We start from the raw sequence: 23,528 nt of genomic DNA on the forward strand, positions 1-23,528 counted from the left end.
GAAAAGATGCAGCAATCAGAATACCTAAAATTTTAAAAAAAATTTTTCCCATTATAGTTGATCAGTTGACATTTCAGCATTCCCTAGTGGTTAAAAAAAAAAAAAGTCTCTCCTGCAATATTACCACCAACTGTCAGAAAATATGAAAGCTCCTATTGTGCAAATTTTAAAACATTCTAAGCTTGCTAAACATTTACCACATTTACTCATACATCTCATTCACCTAAACCTTGATTTTTCTTAGACATAAAATGAGGGGATAATAAAAAATAAAGCTAAAAAGGACCTAAAAATACTTTACAGTTCTAAAATTTAAGAATGCTATAATTCTCTTCTTTCCTACCTACTATAGTTGTATAGATTTAAATCAATTATCAAGTTTTGATAGGTTTCATTAATCATTGAGATTTTTATCTCTATTTACAAAAATGATGAACCATCCAAAGTTAAACTTTTGAAGAGAAAAAAGTAATCAGAGTTCATTCAAAACTATATTAAATAACTCTTACGAGTTAAGTTTTCTTATTGTTGTATAAATGCTTAAGAAAGAGAAAATGGAGAAAAATTTGGAAATAACCAAATTAAGATAATTTCCAATCTTAAGTTGGAGATTGAAGGCTTGAGCATCTTCCTGGCCCAATGAAGAAATGCCAAGCAGGCCTGGTTCAGAGCTGAGAACCTTCCCCTATACTCATGGTGGCAGGGGGAGGGGGGATTCACTGGTTACTAAGGAAAGAGATAGGAAAGAAAGATGAGGAATAAGGATAAGAATCAGGAAGGGTGAGAAAAGTTCTCAGCTTGGTCGTTTCCAGTCTGTTTCAAGCAAGTCATTAACGCCTTTAATTTAACTCTCTATCTGCCAGTTCTAACAGAAGTTTTCATTTATTAGATTGTGAACTCCTCAATTCACCCATGGTGCCAAGGACCAAGGCTTGTCCATGAAAGAGAGTGAAAGGGTACCTGAAAACAGAACTGTTCAATCAAAAGACTGCTGGCATTCCTTTTTTGAAAGCTTGTAGCCAAACACACCACACCTCATGTCACACCAGGCAGGGCCATGTGTTCAGGTGAGCCTCTGCTCTGACCCAACCACCACACCCCTCAACTCCTATGCAGACCTCTCCACTGTGTGCTCCAGGCCCTTCATTCCATGGTGAACAACTACCTATCCAACACCCGCAGCCTCTTCCCAGATGCTTCCTCCTTCTCCTGCCTGGAAATATCACTCTCCTCTGAACAAATGCTTCCCCTGGAGCCTCCCCTACAATTCTGCCTCCTAGTATCCCAGAGTCTGTCCACTTCCCTCCATCCCACCACCATCATACCAGCTCAGGCTCCCATCGTCTTCCCCTGGGCTGCTACAGCCTCCGACACCCCCTACCCAAAGCCTGCTCCCTCTACACTGCAGAGTGTGTTGTCTTTAACAATGAATGGACCCAATCCCACTCCATGCACACAGCCCTTCAATGGCATCCCTGCCCACAAGGTCAAATCCAAACACCAAAACATATCCGAAATGCCTCGCAGGATCTGGCCCCTGCATACACCTCAACTCCTTTCACTATTCTTCCTCCTACCCACACTCTGCTCTCCAGCTACACGGTCCTCATCACAGTTCCTCAAATGATAAGACCACACTGACAACAGTGTGCAGAGCAGCCTGGGAGCAAGACTGGTGGGGAGCAGAGCCACATGAGCTGATGCAGAGTCATCCCAGGGGGATGGGCTGGCAGAGAAGTGGAAGGACGCCAGAGATACTCTGAAGCAGGACAGTAATAATAGGATTTTGTGACTCCTTGGATTACAGAGGAAAGAGGAAAGTCATGGCTATCTCTTAGAGGTCAGACTGGGCATTAGAGTAGACAGAAGTGTCATTTGCTGAGAGAGTGAAGGCATAAAAAGGGGAAGGTTTTGGAGAAAAGATGCCAATACTGCCAACCAATAACTTTCATCAATTTATGCATATTAAATAAAAATACTTATCTTTTAAATATTCATATACAACTGTTAGACCAAATGGATTTGATTAAAGATGTGTTAGCAGGCCAAGTTAATAGTACATTAAAAAAAAAATGTAGCTGGAAAAGTTTGAGATGGTAGAATTCACAGCCTATTTAAGACGTGTTTTTAGCCAAAAATCCAGGCTGTATAAGCAGTAAATGCTTGATTTTTTGAAAATAAATAATAAGAAAATATCATGTAAAACAATGGAAGCAAAACTGGCATAAAATTTAAGAAATTCAACTTTTCCTTAAAACAGGTGGAGGGCAGTGGAAGAGTGGAAAATTAATACAAAACACTATTCCATTCTGCTACAGAGCCTAAGAATACCTCATAGGCAACTTGGTTGGATCATGGGAAGAGAAGGTAGAAAGATTAACTGTGTTAATGATGACTATTCACTCCAGATGTAAAGGGGGACATCAAGCAAAATTAAAAAGGGCTTTGACATACAGACTAATCATCCAGGCCCTCAGGGCTTCTGGAACATATCTAGAAATAAAGCAGCTTAAAAAAAATCTCTCAGGTATCAAAGAAACCACTCTGAATCTCCAATGACCAAAGAAGATAACAGAGAACAGAAAATTGGAAGATGAAGTATTGTCCTCTGACTAGCCAGTTCCTTATGTGGAAGAAAAGGGATTTTCTGCTGACTACTTATGTCTACAAAAGGACATCCAGGCTTTTCTCACAAAAGCTCAGAAACAATGGAGAACTGGGTAGAGACAAGGGCAAATATTCAAAAGTGGGGGAGAAGATCAGGAACAGATCAACAGAGGGGCCACAGGGACTCTGGGCAGCCCACATTAAATGTAGAGAAGTTCATGAAAAAGATCATTTAAAAGTTCTGTTCAAAAAGCGACCTCATCGCCAGAGAGGGGATGAAGTAAGGAAAAGGGAACACTGACCCTGCCTCAGAAAGTGTGTGCTCAGCCCTCACGCATAAGTGTCTGCATATGACCAGGGGTGAGGGGGAGGAGTAGTCAATGGCACTGGGTGTCACTTCTGCACTGACGTGAAGAATCAGATATGTCTCCCGGACTCTGGCCACAGGCAGAAGCAGCTGAGGCTGGTAAACTAAAAAGCAACAACATGAAAGGAGCCTGAGTCTCCCTAAACAAAGCAGTTTACAGTCTCATCATGCTGTAATAAAAGCCACTAGTCAGTTAAGACCCATCCACTTTGCAATCTTCCAACCAGCTCCTCATTCTTAGATACAAATGTCAAGCTAGGAATCAGCAGGCTGTTGGGGATGGAAGCTTCCAATGTGAAAAATAGAAACTAATACAAATTGAAGGGGGACCTAGAGGTAACAAAGACAATGCAACAGGCAGAGAAATTTTCAAACTCAAGATTCTTTAGGTTGGAAACTAACAGAAATGACAATAAAATGTAAAAATAAAATAAGGGAGAAAAACCCTGAGAAAATTCGACTTCAAGAAGTCCAATATCAATAACTTTCAAGAAAACAGGAAAAAAAAAATGGAGAAGAGAAAGTCATTAGGGAAATAATACTAAAAAAAGTTTTCCTCCAAAGTGAAGTAAGTGCCCAGATAGAGCACACAAAGTATGCGATGAGAAGGATGAAATATCTACCACATCATGAACTTTTTGGGGACTAAAGAGAGAAAGATGAACCCAAAAGCTGCCAGAGGAAAACAACTAACCACACACAAAAGGAACTAATGGTAGAACAGCACCAGACTTTTGAAAAGCTACACTCCATCTTAGAATACAGTCGAACAAAGCCTTTAAAAGTCTGAGGAAAAATAAAAATCAACAACCAGGCAAACCAGTAATTTAGTACAAAAATAAAAAAGGAAATGTTCAAACATGCCAGACAAATGTATTTTAAAACTATCTCTGTGACTCTCTTGGAAATTACCTGAGGATATAATCCTCGAAAGGATGAAACAGACCAGAAAGAGACCAACCTGGGGTCCAAAACACAATGAATCCAATGCCAGAGAGGAAAGGGGAATTCTCAGGATGGTGGTAAACAAAACTCCCAGGGAATCGCTATACGGAAGCCCAGGGAAGGACGGGTCTAGGATGGAACCAGAGACAGAGGCTCCAGGAGGGAGGCCCCAGGGGATAGGAGTGGGAGAATTGAAATAATGGATTTTATACATTTGACAAAGTATAAAATAAGCGTTTACAGTTCAGTTGTAGATCTGGAGAGCAATTAATCAGCATACAGAACACCAAGGAAAACAAAATATTAGCAATAATTAACTACAGGAAAAATTTTAAGTTACCAAATAAACAATTATTTATACTACTTAATTCAGCAGTAAGCAATATTTTTACAGTCATAATAACGTAACTGTGGACTATTGTTTTACGTATCAGAATTGCTGAGATTTCAAAGATCTGAAAGTGGCTTTCCCTAGACAAAGGGATAGATGGGGTGGGGAAGACAGATGGGGCAAGGGACCACTGACGTACTTGATGATAAAAAGTTGAATAATGCCAAAAGATATGCATGTATATATAAAGCAGTGAAAATTCAGTTTAAAAACATACTAATAAGTAATATACCCATTGTAGAGCACATTAATAGAAAGAAATTTGTTCAATTACTTATTTGGAGACCTCTTGATATTTGTCAAAAAATACTTATAAGGAAGAAATCATAAAAATGTTCCAGATAACATTAAAATAGATGTTTGTATTCACCACCAAAAGAAATAATACAGTATATTTTAACCTTGGCTTGAAAACATTAAAGAAGAACCTTCCAAAAAAAAAGAGAAATTTTCCATACTGAAATTACCAACTACAAACTACCAGACCATGCGAAGGTATGGAGTTACAGTCATCTTACCTGGAGAATGAGGAGTCGGGGAAATGTGTAATCGCAAAAGCAGACATTTAAGAAACCGCCACCCAACACGCTGTATGTTACCTTTCCCTCCAATGTGTCGTTAGTTCAATAAATGAGTCTAAGTAAAATTAACTGAGGAAACTATTAGAATAATTATAAAATTACATGTATGACAGCTAAAAATGGAGCAAAATAGGATCCTGAAAAATGACAATATTAGAAAGAGTAAACTTCCACCTATCAAACCAAAACAATGCATACAGAAATATCAGCTGAAGAAGAGCAAAATCCTGGGACTTCAGAATCCTTCAGAAATGAATTATTACAGAACAGTAATATTCTGGAACATGAGAACAGAAAAGAGAACGGAAAGTCTAGATCCTTCTTAGTGTCGTGTATCTTTAAAACATTTTAACATTTTAAGTAAAACTTTTTATGAAATATAAATACTCACTTTGGAAATGGAATAAACACTTTTTTCTTCATTATGCAGGATCTTTAAACAAAAATTAACTAAAGCTGCAGACAATTTAATTGCTGTGGAAAGAACACTTTAAATGTATTCTCAAAGACAGTAGGCCAGGCGTTGTGGCTCACGCCTGTAATCCCAGCACTCTGGGAGGCCAAGGCAGGTAGATCACGAGGTCAGGAGATCGAGACCATCCTGGCTAACATGGTGAAACCCCGCCTCTACTAAAAATACAAAAAATTAGCTGGGATTGGTGGCGGGCACCTGTAGTCCCAGCTACTCGGGAGGCTGAGGCAGGAGAATAGCATAAGTAAACCCGGGAGGCGGAGCTTGCAGTGAGCCTAGATCATACCACTGCAGTCCAGCCTGGGCGACAGAGCAAGACTCCATCTCAAAAAAAAAAAAAAAGACAGTAGAGCACACACTTTGGAGCCATTGTCAGTACTCAAATCCCTACTCTGCCAATGACTAGCCCTGTGACCTTGGCAAGCTATTTAATATCCTTGTATCTCAGTTTCCTCATCTATAAAGTGGTTTACCTATCTCATCTGGTAACCATATGGATTAAATGAGTTTCTGATTGTAAAGAGCTTAGACTACAGTCTCACACATAAGCATTTTACACATACTGAATTTCTCCAATCAACAACAGTCTTCAAGAAAGATTGGAATCTGCAGAGGGAAAGCTTCAGAATGAGTCCACTGGAAAAATACTTCCTAAATTGGTAAATGCTAGTAAAGCTTATGTGATAGATAATATATTTTTATTGTGCCTTTCATATATGGCAACCATAAGCTAAGTTTTTCTTTCAATATTTTATTAATTATGAATTTATTCAATCAAAAAATATTTTGGAAGGCAAGCATTCTTCTGGGTCCTTTGCAAACACTACCTTATTCCATTCTCACATAGAAGACAGAGTCTCTTAAACTCATTTAGGTGTTCTCCCCTCTACTCAATCACTTCTTTAAAAATTGTCTATAATCTTCCATTTTAGTTAACCTAATAAAACACTGCACCTCCCTTTTACAACCCTAAAAGACCTCTGTTACTTTATATTTTCTTTTACATCTAAAGGCAAACCAAAGAACTGGCAGTCACTCTAAGTTCTGCTCACATCATTTATTCAAATTATATAAGAACTCAACCTTAATAGATTCCACCCACAATTTAGAGCTTCTATACAGCTTTTTTCGGTCTTCTAGCCTTAATCATGACAGCCTAAGTTTGCCAGACATCTAAGGAAAGCACCTAACATGGAAGGTAGAGACCAAAAGATGTTTAAAAAAACAAGCTAGGCTGGGCACGGTGGCTCAGACCTGTAATCCCAGCACTTTGTGAGGCTGAGGCGAGTGGATCACCAGGTCAAGAGATTGAGACAATCCTGGCCAACATGGTGAAACCCCATCTCAACTAAAAAATACAAAAATTGGCTGGGCGTGGTGGCGCGTGCCTGTAGTCCCAGCTACTTGGGAGGCTGAGGCAAGAGAAAATTGCTTGAACCCAGGGGGCGAAGGTTGCAGTGAGCCGAGATCATGCGATTGCACTCCAGCCTGGTAACAGAGTGAGACTCCGGCTCAAAACAAACAAACAAACAAACAAAAAAACACAAGCTAGAAGATGCCAAGATTATTCTGGGAGGGTAAAAACATCATTAATACCCTTAGAGAGAAAATGTGTTGAATCCATGAAACAAAAATAAAATACTATTTTTTAGAAAGGAATGTTTATAGAACAAACAAAACTACTTGGAAATTAAAAGCATGACAATGAAAAATAAAAACTCATTAGAACAGCTGGAAAAAATAAGGCTGATAAAATGTTCTAGAATGTAAAACAAAGCCAAAGAGCTTAAAAATGGGGGGAAAAAAAGAAAATAAAATAAAATTAGAGGACTGGGAACTATGAACATCCAAACAATAAAAGTTCTGAATCAGAAAACAAAGGGAATGAAATAAGTATAGAAATAATTCAAGAAAATTCCCAGAAATCAAAGGCATGAGTTACAAGACTGAAACAACCCATCAAGTGTCTAAGAGAACACATGAAAGCAGATCTACACTGAGATGGTATTGCTCTGAAATTTCAGAACCATAGAGACAAAGAAGATATTCTACAATCTTCCAGAGAGAGGAAGGGGAAGCAAAGGTCACATACAAAGGTTTAGAAACCCAAATAACTTCGGAACATCTGAATGGCACCATCTGAAGCAACCGACAATGTTTTCAAGTCTAGAGTTCAATACTTGGCCAAACAGTGAACCAAATACGAAAGCAAATAAAGACATTTTCAAATATGCAAAGTTTCATAAATGTTTACCTCCCAGCTATCTACTCTCAAGACCTACTTACTAGAAGATGAAGTCTACCAAAGTGAGAAAATAAACCAAGAAAGAAGAACAAACAGGATAAGGGCACAGGAGATCCAACAGGGGAGAGCAGTCAAGGAAATCCCAATGAGATGCCAAGAGGACAGATGTACACAAACCATGGAAGGTAGCCAGTCCAGAACCAAGTACTTACTGACTCATGCCCAAAATCTCCACATTTTATTTGTGTGAGCCTGGATGAGCCTGGACCAGATTCTTGTCTGTATTTTATCTTGGCTCCAAATGCTTTACTGCTGGCATCAGTTAAAGACACTTATGTCACTCACAGAAGTTGTTCTGCTTTGATATGCTCCAGAGAGCCAGGGTAAACAGTGGTGAATTTAGAAAGAGGGAACAGCTCTTCCCCTCATGATATTTCTGCTGGATATTCAGTACCTGGCTACTACATTTCTGCCAGATGTCCCTACCAACTGAGTCCCACATTTATCCCAGGACTAGCTCATGACCTTGCCTACTGATGTCTTTAGGAATCAGGCTCCTGGTTGAAAATCTATATGGGATTTCTCAGGCCTGGCCATATGCAAGGCTTTGCCTGGCAGGCCTCACAGGGAAAAGAAGACCTTCACACACCAGGCTTGGTGCAGAGCCAGCGTACTGTAGTCTCTCAGGGGAGTTGCAGTCAATGACTCAGCCATTTCTGGGTGATAAAGCTCTTCTTATATTTGCCTTCCTAGCCCAGGCACCTTTATTTCCTGGTCCCATTCTCTGCTGGCAGAGAGGGGCTCCTTGAAGAGGTTGCTCCCCACTCTGACTCAGACTCTGCACTCTTTGGCTCCTGGCCCTTCTCCTTTGCCCCACCACCTCAAGAACCATAAACTGCAGGAGCCTTTTGTTCCCTTTTGATGGGGGTGAGACATCCTGATCGTCACATCTCACTTATACCATTACAGTAAATGATTAAAGGCTTAATTCTCACTTTTGCCTTGTCGCTTTAACCAGCCACTCCAATACCTGGCAGCTCAGCTCCCTCCCCTAGCTCAGCTGTGCTCCTGACAGCCTCAGAAAGTTCCCTCAGGGAACCTAAAGACCATGACTCAGAAATTCTCTTCTTCTGGGAACTTTCATCTAACAAGGGCAATAGTGTCCTCCCCTTAAGCAGCTAGGTTTGTGCCTGATACTCAGTTTTTCAAAACTAAACACACCATATTTAATATATACACATGAGTGGCATAATCATAAAGAAAAACAAGGAAAACATTGGTCCAAAAGTTAGGATGCCATTTCCTCTGAGGGTTGAGGGAAGGAAAGAGAATGCATTAAGAAGGAATTTTAAGGGTATGAAAGCTCTGATAATTTATTTATTTTTTTAATCTGTGTCATGGGTATGTAAGTATTCATTTTACTAATCTTTAAAAATGTATATAAAGATTTTACACAATTCCATAGTCGTAACATTTTACACATAAAAAAGTATTTTTTTTACTAGTTATTTATTTACTGGGTCACAGATAATACACTCATATGATAACAATGCATAAAATAAAGTAAGGAATTTCACACAGCTGTTTCTGACAAGAGCCTCAACATAAACTGAAGGGATAATTTAAAAGTTCCAGTAAAAGTATTGCATGCGGTACAATAAACCAAAGTCCAAGTAGGCAGCAGTGACTGGGCAGCTATCAGTCAATAATGAGACACTCCACAGGGGCATTGTTCTGTCTGCCCCAGGATGACTCATCAGCCACACTCACTGCCCACTGTTTTCTCCAGAAGACCTCCTCTGACGGCACTTGATCTAGATGGAATCAAAGGCTAAAGAGTCTAAAAAGCTAATGAGGTATTTTGGGGGCAACCTCGGATAGGATACTGAATGGGAAAGAACTCAAAGATTCTAACATAAGATCTAAAAATCAACTTAAGTACTTTTATAATTCTAAGACATTTCTCTTACCTTAGGGAAAGGAATTTTTGTCTATCCTTCAGCTCCAGTTTTAAGGAGAGTAGTAGGAACTCTGAAGACAGAGGCAGCAGTAATCAGGGGAGAACGCTACAAAGAAAATGAAGTTCAAAAAGACAGCACCAGAGTCCTCTCTGGCCAGTCACAGCCCTGGTCTGTGAAAACCCTGGGTGGTTTCATGCATCATTTCACCATCCTAAGATTCAAAACAAATCAAGCAATCAAAGGCAGGGCTGCTAAGTAAGCAGCTGCACAAGCAGAGCAGTGGGAGTGGTGAATGGGACCAGGGCCTCGCTGCTGGGGAGAGGAGGAAGGGGTGGGAGACTAGATGGGAATAGCAAAGGGACCCAAGGGAAGTCCAGTTAAAAAGTTTTGTTGGCCGGGCGCAGTGGCTCACGCCTGTAATCCCAACATTTTGCGAGGCCGAGGTGGGTGGATCACCTAAGGTCAAGAGTTTGAGACCAGCCTGACCAAAATGGTAAAACCCTGCCTCTACTAAAAAAAAAAAAAAAAAAAAAAAAATTAGCTGGGTGTGGTGGTGCACGCCTGTAATCCCAGATACTCAGGAGGCTGAGACAAGAGAATTGCTTGAACCCGGGAAGCGGAAAATGCAGTAAGCCATGATGGCACCATTGCACTCCAGCCTGGGCAACAGAGCGAGACTTCGTATCCAAAAAAAAAAAAAAGTTTTGTCTTAATTTTGTCATGTGAGAGGGGAGGTAAGGGATGAACACATTCTGAGGCAGATGGGAAGGAACCAGGAAAGCAAGCCTGAAGGACAGCGACGGGCAAAGAAGAACTGGCAGCCAGTAGGGATAAATCTAACACCTACAAAGGAATGAGCCTTAAACAAAGGCACTTTTTTCGATGTTTCTCTGATCCCACCAGGCCTCTGTATCCCAGTATTGTACTCCCTCTTTTATTTCAGCTAGTCAGTATTTTTGGCACCCTTTTCAAAAGAGAAAGAAAAAAACTCCTGCTCAGAAACCCTGTTATTGTTTGTACTCATCCTTACATAGCAGTAAAATTTATAATACACAAATTTATAATATATAAACTTTATATACATATGTATTTTTCCAGAGAACTGTTAAACATATACATTATTTAACAGCTTAATACACTATCCAATCTATTCTTCCTCAACAATGCACCATAACCTAGCTAACCTCGAATTCCAAAATAATACTAAAATCACACTAAAGTACAAAGAAAAGCTTTAGAATCACCTGCTTGGTATCTGCCTTAGAGTCCAACGCCAAAAGTTTTTTATATTTATCAATAAGGGAAACTTAAGCATATATGAATTTCCTCCAGAAGAAACTATGGGGAAAGTTCGAACTGCCCAACAACCAATGCTCCTTCTTACTTGCAGAACAGAGATTTCTACACATTGGGTCTTAAGAAACTGGCCTTCAGAAACTGTTAGTCTGTGGCTAAGAAATATCAGGGTATCTTATGAAATAAATAACGGTAAGTATATATCAATACAGCTTCAAAAAATAATTAACAATGAGTATTTTTAAAAAAATACTAAAATACTGAGAATTCCAGAAAAAGAATTATACCATGAGTAGGCTGTGTTTGCAAAACAGATCTCACTTCATCTTCTCAAGTTAGAGCTTGGCAGCCTGGCTCCATTCATCATTTGGCTGTTTTCTATTTTCCCTTCTTCTATTTCTGGTGAAATGGACTGGCTTACATGGCTTCTAAAAACTTACATGTATATTATTTCAAAACAAATATACTTCTGAATTTAAGATGTCACAGTCAATCTGCCCGCAAATTTCTAATCTGCTAGACAAATCTCAACTTTTATTTCTCAGTATATAATACAATTTATTTTTTCAATCCTAAAAACAACTTTAGATATCCTCCTCTTTATTTTTAACCCATATTTTAAGAAGTCTGCAGCTTTATCCCTCTCATAAAATTACAAGGGTGACTAACCATCAAGGAAGAAAATATTAAGAACTAACTAGTAATTTGAAACCTCTAAATGTACTTCAGGTCAAAAAACATACAAAAATGCAATGAAAAACACTGATAGAAAAGAAGTGATAAGAGACTCTATTCAAAATAATATACATCAGGATCAATTGTGGGAAGAACCTTCAGTTTAGGATGCCTTTGAATAGAGCTAAAGAGATGGTTCCGGGTTAAGAAAAAGCCCACAAACAGCAAAAGGAAAGCTGGAAAAATGAAAACATGTGCTGCTAGTGCAGACCACCATGGGGTCCAAGAGTTGGGTAACACAGAAGGGGCCAGCTAAAGCACAAAGCAGTCAAGTGGGCAGAGTGAAACAAGCTATAGCCACTGACACTGGAAGAACCAGAGACAGCCATCTGGAAAGACCCAAATGCTCTAAGGTAAAAGCTGCCCTCATGCCACCTTAAGCAGTAGTCTACAGACTTTTTTACACCAAAACTACAGTAAGAAGACTTTACACAACTCAGCACACATACATATGTGTGTGTGTGTGTGTGTGTGTGTATATACATACACACAGCAAATGGAAGTTTCTCTAAGTAGTATCTATCCTTACTAGTCTGGTAGATGATATTATTTACTTTGTAGTATTTTTTTTCTCATCTAAAATGAAATGGGCTCAACCCACTGAATCAATTTTAAAACTCTCAAATAAGTGATAACCTGCAATTTGACAAACACTGTGCTGAAGTAGTCACTGCTTGACTTTGGGGACTGGGGAAAGTCAAGTGTTCCATGAGATCATACTTCAGCTTGAATCCTGTTCTTATACTGGTCAATTTTTGTATTTATTTCACTTGCTTTGGAATAGGTTTCAACTCAGTCAGTTACCAAGGCCTTTCATCATCCAGCACAACCACTGTTCCAATCTGAATCCCCCACAACACTCCCTGAAGAACATGCTTACTGATCTGCTTACTACCTGCTTTCCACATACTAGATTTTGGCCTTTGCCTCTCCCTGGTATGCTTTTATCCTCATGGTTTATTTCCACCTATCCAAATACCTCTGATTCTACAAGGTCACACTAAAGTAGCCCCTCCATGAAGAACAAATTTCTCCTGCCTCTGGAGTTCTAAGCACTTTATTTTTCCTTCCTTTCTATCTTCCATTCACACACACCCTGCCGCACTCCCATGCTCTCAGAGCCCAAACAGTCTTAAGAAACTACTTGGTATGAATTGTTTGTGTTGACTGAACAACTGAATACAAAAAACTGCCTACCAGGCACCACAGGGGTTAAACACTGAGAAAGATCAGGTCAGGGCCAAAACCACCAAAAACCCCTCAATCGAAACCAGAACCTTCTATTCTCCTCAGTAGATGTTGTGCCTTCTGCCTTTGAAAAAACAGTTACAACAAGCATTACAAGAAAATATGAATGCTTTCTTTAACAGATGTTTACAAATTCTTCTTTCAATTAAAAAAGTAGCCAGGCATGGTGGCACACACTTGTAGTTCCAGCTACTTGGGAGGCTGAGGCAGGAGGACTGCTTGAAGCCAGTGGTTTGAGGCTATAGTGCACTGTGAATAGTCACTGGACTCCAGTCTGGGCAACAATATAGCAAGACCCCATATTTTTTTTAAAAAAGGTAGCATAAGTGCAGATTAGCAGCTTAGCAATAATGCCATGTTTCATATTTCAACTTCTCTTATGTAAAATCTAATCTCCCAAATGTAATAAAGCTACCCATAGACAGACGGGCAGTACTTAGCAAAATGAACAGACACCACCAAGTTTCTCTCCCTCTGGCTCATTACGATGCAAGCACACAGGCCCACTTTCCCTCAAGTCAGCCTCCTTTTCTCATTACCATATTCTTTTGGTTTAACTTATTTCCCTGCATCTTGTTTCAAAAACAAAATCTTTCACATCATCTTTTAATCATGCATTTTTATTTTAGTCTCCCCAATTAAACAAAAGAATTTTCTTAGACCTAAGTCAGAAACATTAACTTCAAAGTGTCTTAAATCTATATACAAATATATTTTACATCAATCTTCTAACAGCTTCCTCATTTGATAAATGCTTATCAAGTAACTGCTAGATACTCAAATGGTGGGCTAGAAACTCAACACATCTTTGAGGTACTAAACTGAAAATACCACACTTCCAAAGGAAAGGAGATAATGGGATAATAGCAAATTCAAACTCATTATCCCGAATTGAAAATCATATACAATTCTCATAATTCTGTACTACAAAGAATCAATAAGCAGCAAGGAAGAAAATTCTAAAGATAATCTCAAGGCAAAATACTTCAAACATACATACAGTATAATAAATTGGCAAAACAAATAAGAAAGAAGAAAAGTAAACATAAAAAGCCTGAAAAAATTAGTCTTTTAGTTTTAGGAATGCTGCTCAACTGTAAAGTAAATCAGGTCAGATATTAAATATTGCAGAGAAGACACTTCTAAATATTGCATAGAAGATACTTCTATTTTAACATTAGTAAAGAGCTATTAATATCATTTGATAATGAGTGGTCTTTTCCCTTATATTTTATGTAAACAATATATACTGGATGGAGCTGAAACAATCTACAGCCATTGACATTGGAAGAAGAACCACATCTGGAAAGACCCAAATGCTCTAAGGTAAAAGCTGCTCCCTCATGCTACCTTAAGCAGTAGTCTACGGACTTTTTTTACACCAAAACTACAGTAAGAAGTAAGACTTCACACATCTCAGCACACACACATACACATGTACATACAACAAATGGATTATATTGTTCCATAACAATATATTAGATATTCCATAACAATATATGGAATATATATTGCTTATGTTCAAATGCCTATGAATATTTAAAATTTATGCCAGGCACTGTGGCTCATGCCTGTAATCCCAGCACTTTGGGAGGCTGAGATGGGCAGATCACTCAAGCCCAGGAAATTGAGACTAGTCTGGGCAACATAGCAAAACCCTGTCTCTACAAAAAATACAAAAAATTAGCTGAGTTTGGTGGCATGCACCTATGGTCCCAGCTACTCAGGAGGCTGAAATGGGAGGATCGCTTGAACCCAAGAGGTGGAGGTTGCAGTGAGCAGAGATCACACTACTGCACTCCAGCCTGGGTGACAGAGTGAGACCCTGTCTCAAAAAAAATAGTAATTAAATTTATCAAGTATTCCCAATTCTATTTACATCTCTAAAACTATCTTAAGTGTGATGGGCCATGGCAGTGGTGAAATCATGCAAATAATGAATGATTTTATGATAATAAGATATTTTAGGATATTTTCATAAAACTGAACTATAAATTAATCAATGATTAACTATTAACTTATCAACTATTTTATTTTAGTATATCTTATAAACACATACTAAAATATTCTTACCTTAAATATGTGCCATATATGAAGAATAATGCCATCATTAGTCCATTTAAAATAAAAATTACAGCAACATAGAAGCAAGCAAGATCTCCCAATCCTTTAAAAATAAACAAAACATATGTTCTAATCACATTAACCCAAATTACCTTATGTGTCTAGCAATTTATATTAAATTGTGTTCATTTTGAAAATGGTTGCCAGATACATTAAGTAGTTGCCTTGGTTCCCACATGAAAACCCAACACTGCTGCAGAACACAGATGAGATCAGGGCAATTAGCAATGATGGTTTTAAAACAGGGCTGCAAATTCACGGATACGTCTCCTCTGGAGGTATGGGGTCTACAGCCCCCATTTTTGAGTTTCAGTGGGCTTGTGACTCAACAGAGTACGGCAGAAGCAACACTAGTGACTTCTGAGGCTAGGTCATAAGAGGTCACACAGTGTCCAGCTTGGAGCCTTCAGCTGCCATAGGAAAAGCCTTACTACTACTCTGAGGTACTTTGCTATCATAAAGCCCAAGTCACCCAGAAAGGCCACGTGTAGGTGTCCCAGCTGACAGTTCCAGTTGAGCTCAGCCTCACAGTCCTCCATGCCCAGGAGCCAAAATGTGAGCAATGCAGCCTCTCAGTTAACTCCAGCCTTCCCAGACATTTGAGTCTTAGTAGCAGAGGTCCCTGAAATCATGGAGATAAACCAGCCCCGCTAAAGCCTGCCCAAATTCTGGACTTGCAGAATCCATATGCATAATAAAATGGGTGTTGCTTACACCACTAAGTTTACAGTGTTAAGTTTATTATGCTGGATAAGTTTATTACGTTACAACAGATAACTGGACAATATTACAGAACGAAACTTACCTTCACAGCTTTCAGTAGGACTGAGTCCTTCTCCTCTGGTAACCGTCCGACATATCTTGGTTTGAATTGCAATGAAGTCCATTATTTTGGTATAAATCCAGTACCAGCTGGCCAAAATTACCTATTTTTAAAAAATATAGTGGTATCTTAAGAAAATATACCAAACAATTTTCATTACTAGAATACTTTTGAGATATTGTGACAATTGCCATATTTTCCCTTTCTGTACCATCCACTTGGCTCCCTTTAAATCTAGTAAAACGAGGCTCAGAATCTCCTAGGCAGATTCTTCACTGGTCAGTTTTCAATTGTTCATCCATGGGTAAGGACAAAATATGGGCCAAAAAAAAGTGCTAAGTTTATGTTTTTCAAAAACTATACAACTCTACTAAGAGATACAAAAGAGGATTTGCTCAAGTAAAAGATACTGGGTCTACTGGAATAGACCAAATTATTTAAGATTTGAATTCTCCCTCAAATTAATTGATAAACATAAAATAATTCTAATCAAAATTCCAAGTGCCTAAAATGTATCTAGAAAACTAACAAGAAAACTAAAGGGAATGTTTTAACAGATATTAAGTCTTATCACCTTTAATAATTAAAATAGTGTGATACTGGCACAAGAATGGCTAGACAGATCAATGTAGCCATAGTACAGGTGGTGATAAGCCACCCCAGATGCCCTCTTCCAGGCTGAGGCAATCATTCCTCCAGCTAGTTGGAAGACTGGTGCCTGAGAGCTCGAAGCTGTGTCCCTCCCTGGGAAGAAATTAAATTCACTCAAAGTGACACCCCCTACCCAAGGGCAATCTGCATCCAATGACGGACAAGTCAATAGGGAAAGATACCAGGGGCCCTTATGTCAAGGTAGGACAACTCTGCAAGGCCATCCCAGATCCAGAGCTGCCCAGGGACTGGATGAGGCCTTCACAGTGACTGCATCAAAGCTCTCCTCTTCCTCCTGCCTATTCTGCTTCATTCATCCCTCTTCAAGTGTTGACCCTAAGGACACTCCCTCAACTACTTCCTGCATGCAAATCTCCATCTCAAAGTCCACTTCCCATGACCTCAACCTAAGAAATACTGAGCACAAAATCCAGAAACACATGAAAGCACGTATGTATAACAATTTTGCACATAAAGAAGAAAGCTTACTTCAAATCAGTGGAGAGAGGATGGACACCTCATCAGTGTTAGGTTACACACAATACTATTTTCAAAGAAAAATTCAAGGTTAGATTCCTACCCCACACTATGCATCAAAACCAATTCCAGATAAATTAAAAATGTAAATTTAAAAAAAGTTATAATTATAAAAATGAAGTTTTTTACATGTATGTATAAAAGACAAAAAGATTCATAGATATATTTCTGTATAAAAAAATACACAGACATCATACACAAAGCTAAAGGGCAAACAACTGGGAAAAATGTTTTATTATATAGCATTATATTAATATCCAGTATATAAAATTTTAATAGAAATATAGATGAAAAGCATGAATTGGTAATTAATTTTAAAAGTAAAAATGCATTATATGTATATGTATGTGTGTTATACATACATATATAAAGAACACTGAAATATATCTATAATCAATGAATGAAATACATCATGTGACTTCAATTTCTTTGTCTATCCAATCAACAAAGATGCAGGTAAATAAATAGTTTCGAAAACACTCCTGGTGGATAGTTGAATATCTATCCGGAAGGTCTTCTGACAAAATCATTAAAGTATATATTCTACTGAACTAGAGTTCCACATCAACAAATTTATAGTTTTGCAAGGAGGATAAAGGAAAGGCCAAATGCCATCTCCACTTGCTGGATCGGGCTCACCTTCCCTCCACTCCCACTCAAGAAAGTGCACTTAATTAAATGAGGATAAGGAAGAAAACATTTAACAAATGACATATAAAAGTAACAGAGCTCCCTTAGTATAATCCTTGTAAGCACACCAAATCTAGTTTTTGTATTTTTTAAACAATGCAGTCACAACAACAGTTCCCCACAGAATTAAAGCCCCCTCCTCAAAATCAGTAATGATGTTTTTTACATATTCCTCCCCAAGATACATATTTTCTTTTAAAAAATTAAATACAATTTAATATATTGAATTATACCTTAGAGTTAGAATCAGCATTTAATTCAAAAAAGTTTTACAAAAGTGAAAAATCACAATTGGAAAAAGTACCTTACCTCAGGGTAAAGATTGAATCTTTTTAATGTATTAATAACAAGGGGGTATTCAGTCAGTTTATCATTCATAATCATCCATACTCCATTCAAAAATGAGGGTGTTTCCACAATAGTCTTGAAATAGGAATAATACAGTCCCTGAAATAAGGATATGCTCAGTTAAAATAACAAAAGGTACATAATTATGATGCCTCTTCGAAGTAAATATACTGTTTTTGAAAAACAAAGCAATTAAGCAACTAATAGCTATTAAGACAATGAATTTCACAGGTTTCTGACCATTGATAAATCCTAAAGTTGCGAAAAAACTACGTATTTTCACATAAACTTGTCTTAATTGAAATAACTGAATGCAAAATAGCTTCAACAATAGTTTCAGCATTTAAAAAATAATATGACTCAGCATACTTCAACTTAGAAAATCCTATTACCCACACTAATATAACTGTTAGAAAATGCTATCTTATGAATAGAGTGAGTGGTTTCTTACGGAACTAAAATTTATCATTAACCAAGAAATCTTAAGCCAAAAATGCTCCTCTAACTGCTTATGTTAATCCCCAAAATGACACTATCAATCATTTTTCCTCCGGATTTACATGGAAAAATGCAAATGTGTTGAGAAGGCTACTCACTGATGTATTATTACATATGAATTTCACTCGGGTGCCACCTAATTTTGCAGATTATTTTCCCTCCTATCAAGTCAGCATAAGGTAAGAACCCTGCGTGACTGGGGATGAGGGTGGGGAGTGGTCCTATTTTGAAGAAAAGAGTTTTTTAGCTTGGCACACTGCTTTGGAAAGATAGCAAGGGTGGAAAATTACGTGAGACAAAACAAGAAAACACTAGAAGCCTAACGGAGAGTCTAAGCGGCAGTATGAGGGAAGACAGAGAAACACAAGATAAATCTACGTCTTGTATTTGCATCTTCAGTTTTGTCTGGAGCTGCCCTGGTAGCCAGTACCAGTAGCTGCCAAAGTTTAAACCGGGTTTAAGACTCACAAATACAAAAGTGAGATGCCTACCCAGAAATTTACTGAAAAAGAAAAAAATGGTCTTGATACTCTGATGTATTAGCTCTGATATCACTATTTTTAAAATTATGTTTCCTTGTGAACTGATTTGGATACTGTCCCCTAAAATTTCATGTCCACCAGACCCTGTGGATTGATCTTATTTGGAAATAGGATTCTTGCAGACGTGATCAAGATGAGGTCATATTGGATTAAGGTGGACTCTAAACCCAACACAACTGGTAAATCTAAATAAAGAGGAATATTTGGCCTCAAAGCTACAGGCACACAGGGGAAAAGGCTGTGTGAAGATGGATCAGAGACTGCGGTGAGGCATCAGCATGCCAAGGAATTCCAAGGATGGCCAGCAGCCATCAGAGGCTGAGAGGAGGCAAGGAAGGACTCTCCCCTCCAGCCTTCAGAGACAAGATGCCCATCAACACCTTAACGTCCCACTGCAAGTCTCTGCAACTGTGAGAGAATACATTTCTGCTGTTTTAAGCCACCTAGCTTGTTGTACTTCTTTATGACAGCCCTAGGACACTATACCTTCCTTCTTTTGTAGGTTTGCTTTTGGAAACATATCAAAAATTTAAAAATCCCTAAATATCAAAATAAAAATGAAAGAAAGGAATGAACTATTTATCAACTTGGGAGAAGATTTCAAATAACATTAAGATACTGTAATTTTACTGTATATCCCTAGTGGACTATATCCTAAGGTTAAAATGGAGCCCAGGAATCTGGCACGACTGGTTTCACAAGTTACAGGTCACAAAGACCCTGCTGATAATACAGGATGTGGTAAAGAAGCCGGCCAAAACCCGCCAAAACCAAGATGACAACTAAAGTGACCTCTGGTCATCCTTATTGCTCATTATAATATATTAGCATACTAAAGGAAACTCCCACCAGCAGCATGACAGTTTACAAATGCCATAGCAACCTCTGGAAGTTACCCTATATGGTTTGAAAGCGGGAGACACCCTCAGTTCCAGGAATTCCCCTCCCTGTTCCCAGAAAACTCATGAATAATCCACCTCTTGTTTAGCATATGATGAAGAAATAACCTTAAAAACAATCAACCAGCAGCCCTCACAGCTGCTCTGCCTGTGGAGTAGCCACCCTTTCATCCCTTTACTTTCTTAAGGTAAACTTCTTTTCACTTCACTCTGTTGGAGCATTCTTGAATTCCTTCCTGCCCAAAGCCAAGAACCCACATGGCCTCCTGGGCTCAACCCCAATTCTGGGGGTTGCCCTGTGAAGAACCAAACTGCACGAAAATCTTAAACTCTTTTCAGTAATCACATAAATGATGGCTATTATTATTATTTTTAGTAGTATTTGACTATCCATTTATTCCATGACCATTGCCCGGGTTTCCAATGCTCTTCAGACTTATTTTTCTTTGATCACACGTCAGTGAGTCCATGGCCAAAATGAGTCTATCTTTGGCCCTACTCTCACATTCAGATATATTCTACACTTTCACCTGAACTTGGGATACTCCATGGATTGCTGGTCCTACCTCAATTATTTTTCCTGCTTGTTCTCTGCCTTATTTGTCCTTCTACTTCCTGAGCCCCTAATTTATTCATGTGAAAAAGCAAAATTGCACAATGTAAATTCTGTGAGAACAGCTTCACTCTAAGGTAAATTATAATGTCTTGTATTATTCAGGAAATGACTGGATGTTGATGTTCATATATATCATCTACTAAAATGATAGAATGAATGCTTTAGACACTCTAGAAATAGATTGTTCTATTTTTCTCTACTTGACTGATGATTTCTTGGGATCAGAACAGATATTCACAATATTAAAACCACAGTAAATGGTTTTGTGGTTGAAACCAATGACAAATAATTTTTTGTCTTTGAATCTGATGTCCTCCACATGTACTCTCTGGGATGGAAATTTCTTTAGTGGTACTGTCAAAAGAAGCATCAGAGAGACATTAGACAGAGATGACCTTTCCATGAATTTTAAGAGGAAGACTCTGATATGGTTTGGCTTTGTGTCCCCACTGAAATCTCATCTTGAATTGTAATCCTCAGGTGTCAAGGGAAGAACCTGGTGGGAGGTGATTGGATCATGGGGGCGGTTTCCCCCATGCTATTCTCATGATAGTGAGTGAGTTCTCACGAGAGCTGATGGTTTTAAAGTGTTGTACTTTCTGGTGCTCTCTCTCTCTCTCTCTCTCTCTTGCCTGCCCCATGTAAGAAGTGCCTTGCTTCCCCTTCACCTTCCACCATGATTGTAAGTTTCCTGAGGCCTCCCCAGCCATGCAGAACTATGAGTCAATTAAACCTCCTTTCTTTATAAATACTCAGTCTCTGGTGGTATTCTTCATAGCAGTGTGAAAACAGACTAATACAGAGAATTGGTACCGAGGTAGTGGGGCACTGCTATAAGAATGTGGAAGCAACTTTGGAAATGGGTAACAGGCAGAGGGTGGAACAGTTTGGAAGGCTCACACGAATACAAGAGGATGAATGAAAGTTTGGAACTTCCTAGAGACTTGTTGAATGGTTTCGACCAAAATGCTGATAGTGATATAAATAATGAAGTCCAGGCTGAGATGGTCTCAGATGGAGATGAGTAACCTATTGGGAACTGGAGTAAAGGTCACTCTTACTATGCTTTAGCAAAGAGACTGGCAGCATTTTTTTCTTTTTTTTATATACTTTCAGTTTTAGGGTACATGTGCAAATTGTGCAGGTTAGTTACATAAGTATACATCTGCCATGCTGGTGTGCTGCACCCACTAACTCGTCATCTAGCATTAGGTATATCTCCCGATGCTATCCCTCCCCCCTCCCCCCACCCCACAACAGTCCCCAGAGTGTGATATTCCCCTACCTGTGTCCATGTGATCTCATTGTTCAGTTCCCACCTATGAGTGAGAATATGCGGTGTTTGGTTTTTTGTTCTTGCGATAGTTTACTGAGAAGGATGATTTCCAATTTCATCCATGTCCCTACAAAGGACACGAACTCATCATTTTTTATGGCTGCATAGTATTCCATGGTGTATATGTGCCACATTTTCTTAATCCAGTCTATCATTGTTGGACATTTGGGTTGGTTCCAAGTCTTCGCTATTGTGAATAGTACCGCAATAAACATACGTGTGCATGTGTCTTTATAGCAGCATGATTTATAGTCCTTTGGGTATATACCCAGTAATGGGATGGCTGGGTCAAATGGTATTTCCAGTTCTAGATCCCTGAGGAATCGCCACACTGACTTCCACAATGGTTGAACTAGTTGACAGTCCCACCAACAGTGTAAAAGTGTTCCTATTTCTCCACATCCTCTCCAGCACCTGTTGTTTCCTGACTTTTTAATGATTGCCATTCTAACTGGTGTGAGATGGTATCTCATTGTGGTTTTGATTTGCATTTGTCTGATGGCCAGTGATGATGAGCATTTTTTCATGTGTCTTTTGGCTGCATAAATGTCTTCTTTTGAGAAGTGTCTGTTAATATCCTTTGCCCACTTTTTGATGGGGTTGTTTGTTTTTTTCTTGTAAATTTGTTTGAGTTCATTGTAGGTTCTGGATATTAGCCCTTTGTCAGATGAGTAGGTTGCGAAAATTTTCTCCCATTTTGTAGGTTGCCTGTTCATTCTGATGGTAGTTTCTTTTGCTGTGCAGAAGCTCTTTAGTTTAATTAGATCCCATTTGTCACTTTTGGCTTTTGTTGCCATTGCTTTTGGTGTTTTAGACCTGAAGTCCTTGCCCATGCCTATGTCCTGAATGGTAATGCCTAGGTTTTCTTCTAGGGTTTTTATGGTTTTGGGTCTAACGTTTAAGTCTTTAATCCATCTTGAATTAATTTTTGTGTAAGGTGTAAGGAAGGGATTCAGTTTCAGCTTTCTACATAAGGCTAGCCAGTTTTCCCAGCACCATTTATTAAATAGGGAATCCTTTCCCCATTGCTTGTTTTTCTCAGGTTTGTCAAAGATCAGATAGTTGTAGATATGCAGCATTATTTCTGAGGGCTCTGTTCTGTTCCATTGATCTATATCTCTGTTTTGGTACCAGTACCATGCTGTTTTGGTTACTGTATCCTTATAGTATAGTTTGAAGTCAGGTAGCGTGATGCCTCCAGCTTTGTTCTTTTGGCTTAGGATTGACTTGGCGATGCGGGCTCTTTTTTGGTTCCATATGAACTTTAAAGTAGTTTTTTCCAATTCTGTGAAGAAAGTCATTGGTAGCTTGATGGGGATGGCACTGAATCTATAAATTACCTTGGGCAGTATGGCCATTTTCACGATATAGATTCTTTCTACCCATGAGCATGGAATGTTCTTCCATTTGTTTGTATCCTCTTTTATTTCCTTGAGCCGTGGTTTGTAGTTCTGCTTGAAGAGGTCCTTCACATCCCTTGTAAGTTGGATTCCTAGGTATTTTATTCTCTTTGAAGCAATTGTGAATGGGAGTTCACTCATGATTTGGCTCTCTGTTTGTCTGTTATTGGTGTATAAGAATGCTTGTGATTTTTGTACATTGATTTTGTATCCTGA

General features: G+C 38.7%; 1 pseudogene across 1 annotated transcript in view, besides 2 other annotated features; it reads right to left on the reverse strand.

Annotated features, from left to right (window-relative positions):
• The window catches only part of DPY19L1P1 (DPY19L1 pseudogene 1), a 138,230-nt pseudogene that overhangs the window by 80,072 nt on the left and 34,630 nt on the right, over nucleotides 1-23,528 (reverse strand). Inside the window, exons 3-5 of the transcript NR_036680.1 lie at nucleotides 17,983-18,120; nucleotides 15,778-15,898; nucleotides 14,922-15,015 (exon numbers count right to left, since the gene is read on the reverse strand). The product of NR_036680.1 is annotated as a DPY19L1 pseudogene 1 (transcript). The remainder of the gene's footprint in view (nucleotides 1-14,921; nucleotides 15,016-15,777; nucleotides 15,899-17,982; nucleotides 18,121-23,528) is intronic.
• Nucleotides 16,694-16,894: a silencer, noted in NCBI's record as "peak6470 fragment used in MPRA reporter construct". NCBI's record gives its function as "represses an SCP1 promoter by STARR-seq MPRAs in K562 erythroleukemia cells {active_cell/tissue: K562}" and the evidence as "EXISTENCE:reporter gene assay evidence [ECO:0000049][PMID:32103011]".
• Nucleotides 19,588-20,346: an enhancer, noted in NCBI's record as "OCT4-NANOG-H3K27ac-H3K4me1 hESC enhancer chr7:32720210-32720968 (GRCh37/hg19 assembly coordinates)". NCBI's record gives its function as "activates a minimal SCP1, AML or CMV promoter by ChIP-STARR-seq in naive H9 embryonic stem cells {active_cell/tissue: H9 hESC(naive)}" and the evidence as "EXISTENCE:reporter gene assay evidence [ECO:0000049][PMID:30033119]".

Source organism: Homo sapiens, chromosome 7 (genome assembly GCF_000001405.40).
Source record: "Homo sapiens chromosome 7, GRCh38.p14 Primary Assembly".
Taxonomy (NCBI): domain Eukaryota; kingdom Metazoa; phylum Chordata; class Mammalia; order Primates; family Hominidae; genus Homo; species Homo sapiens.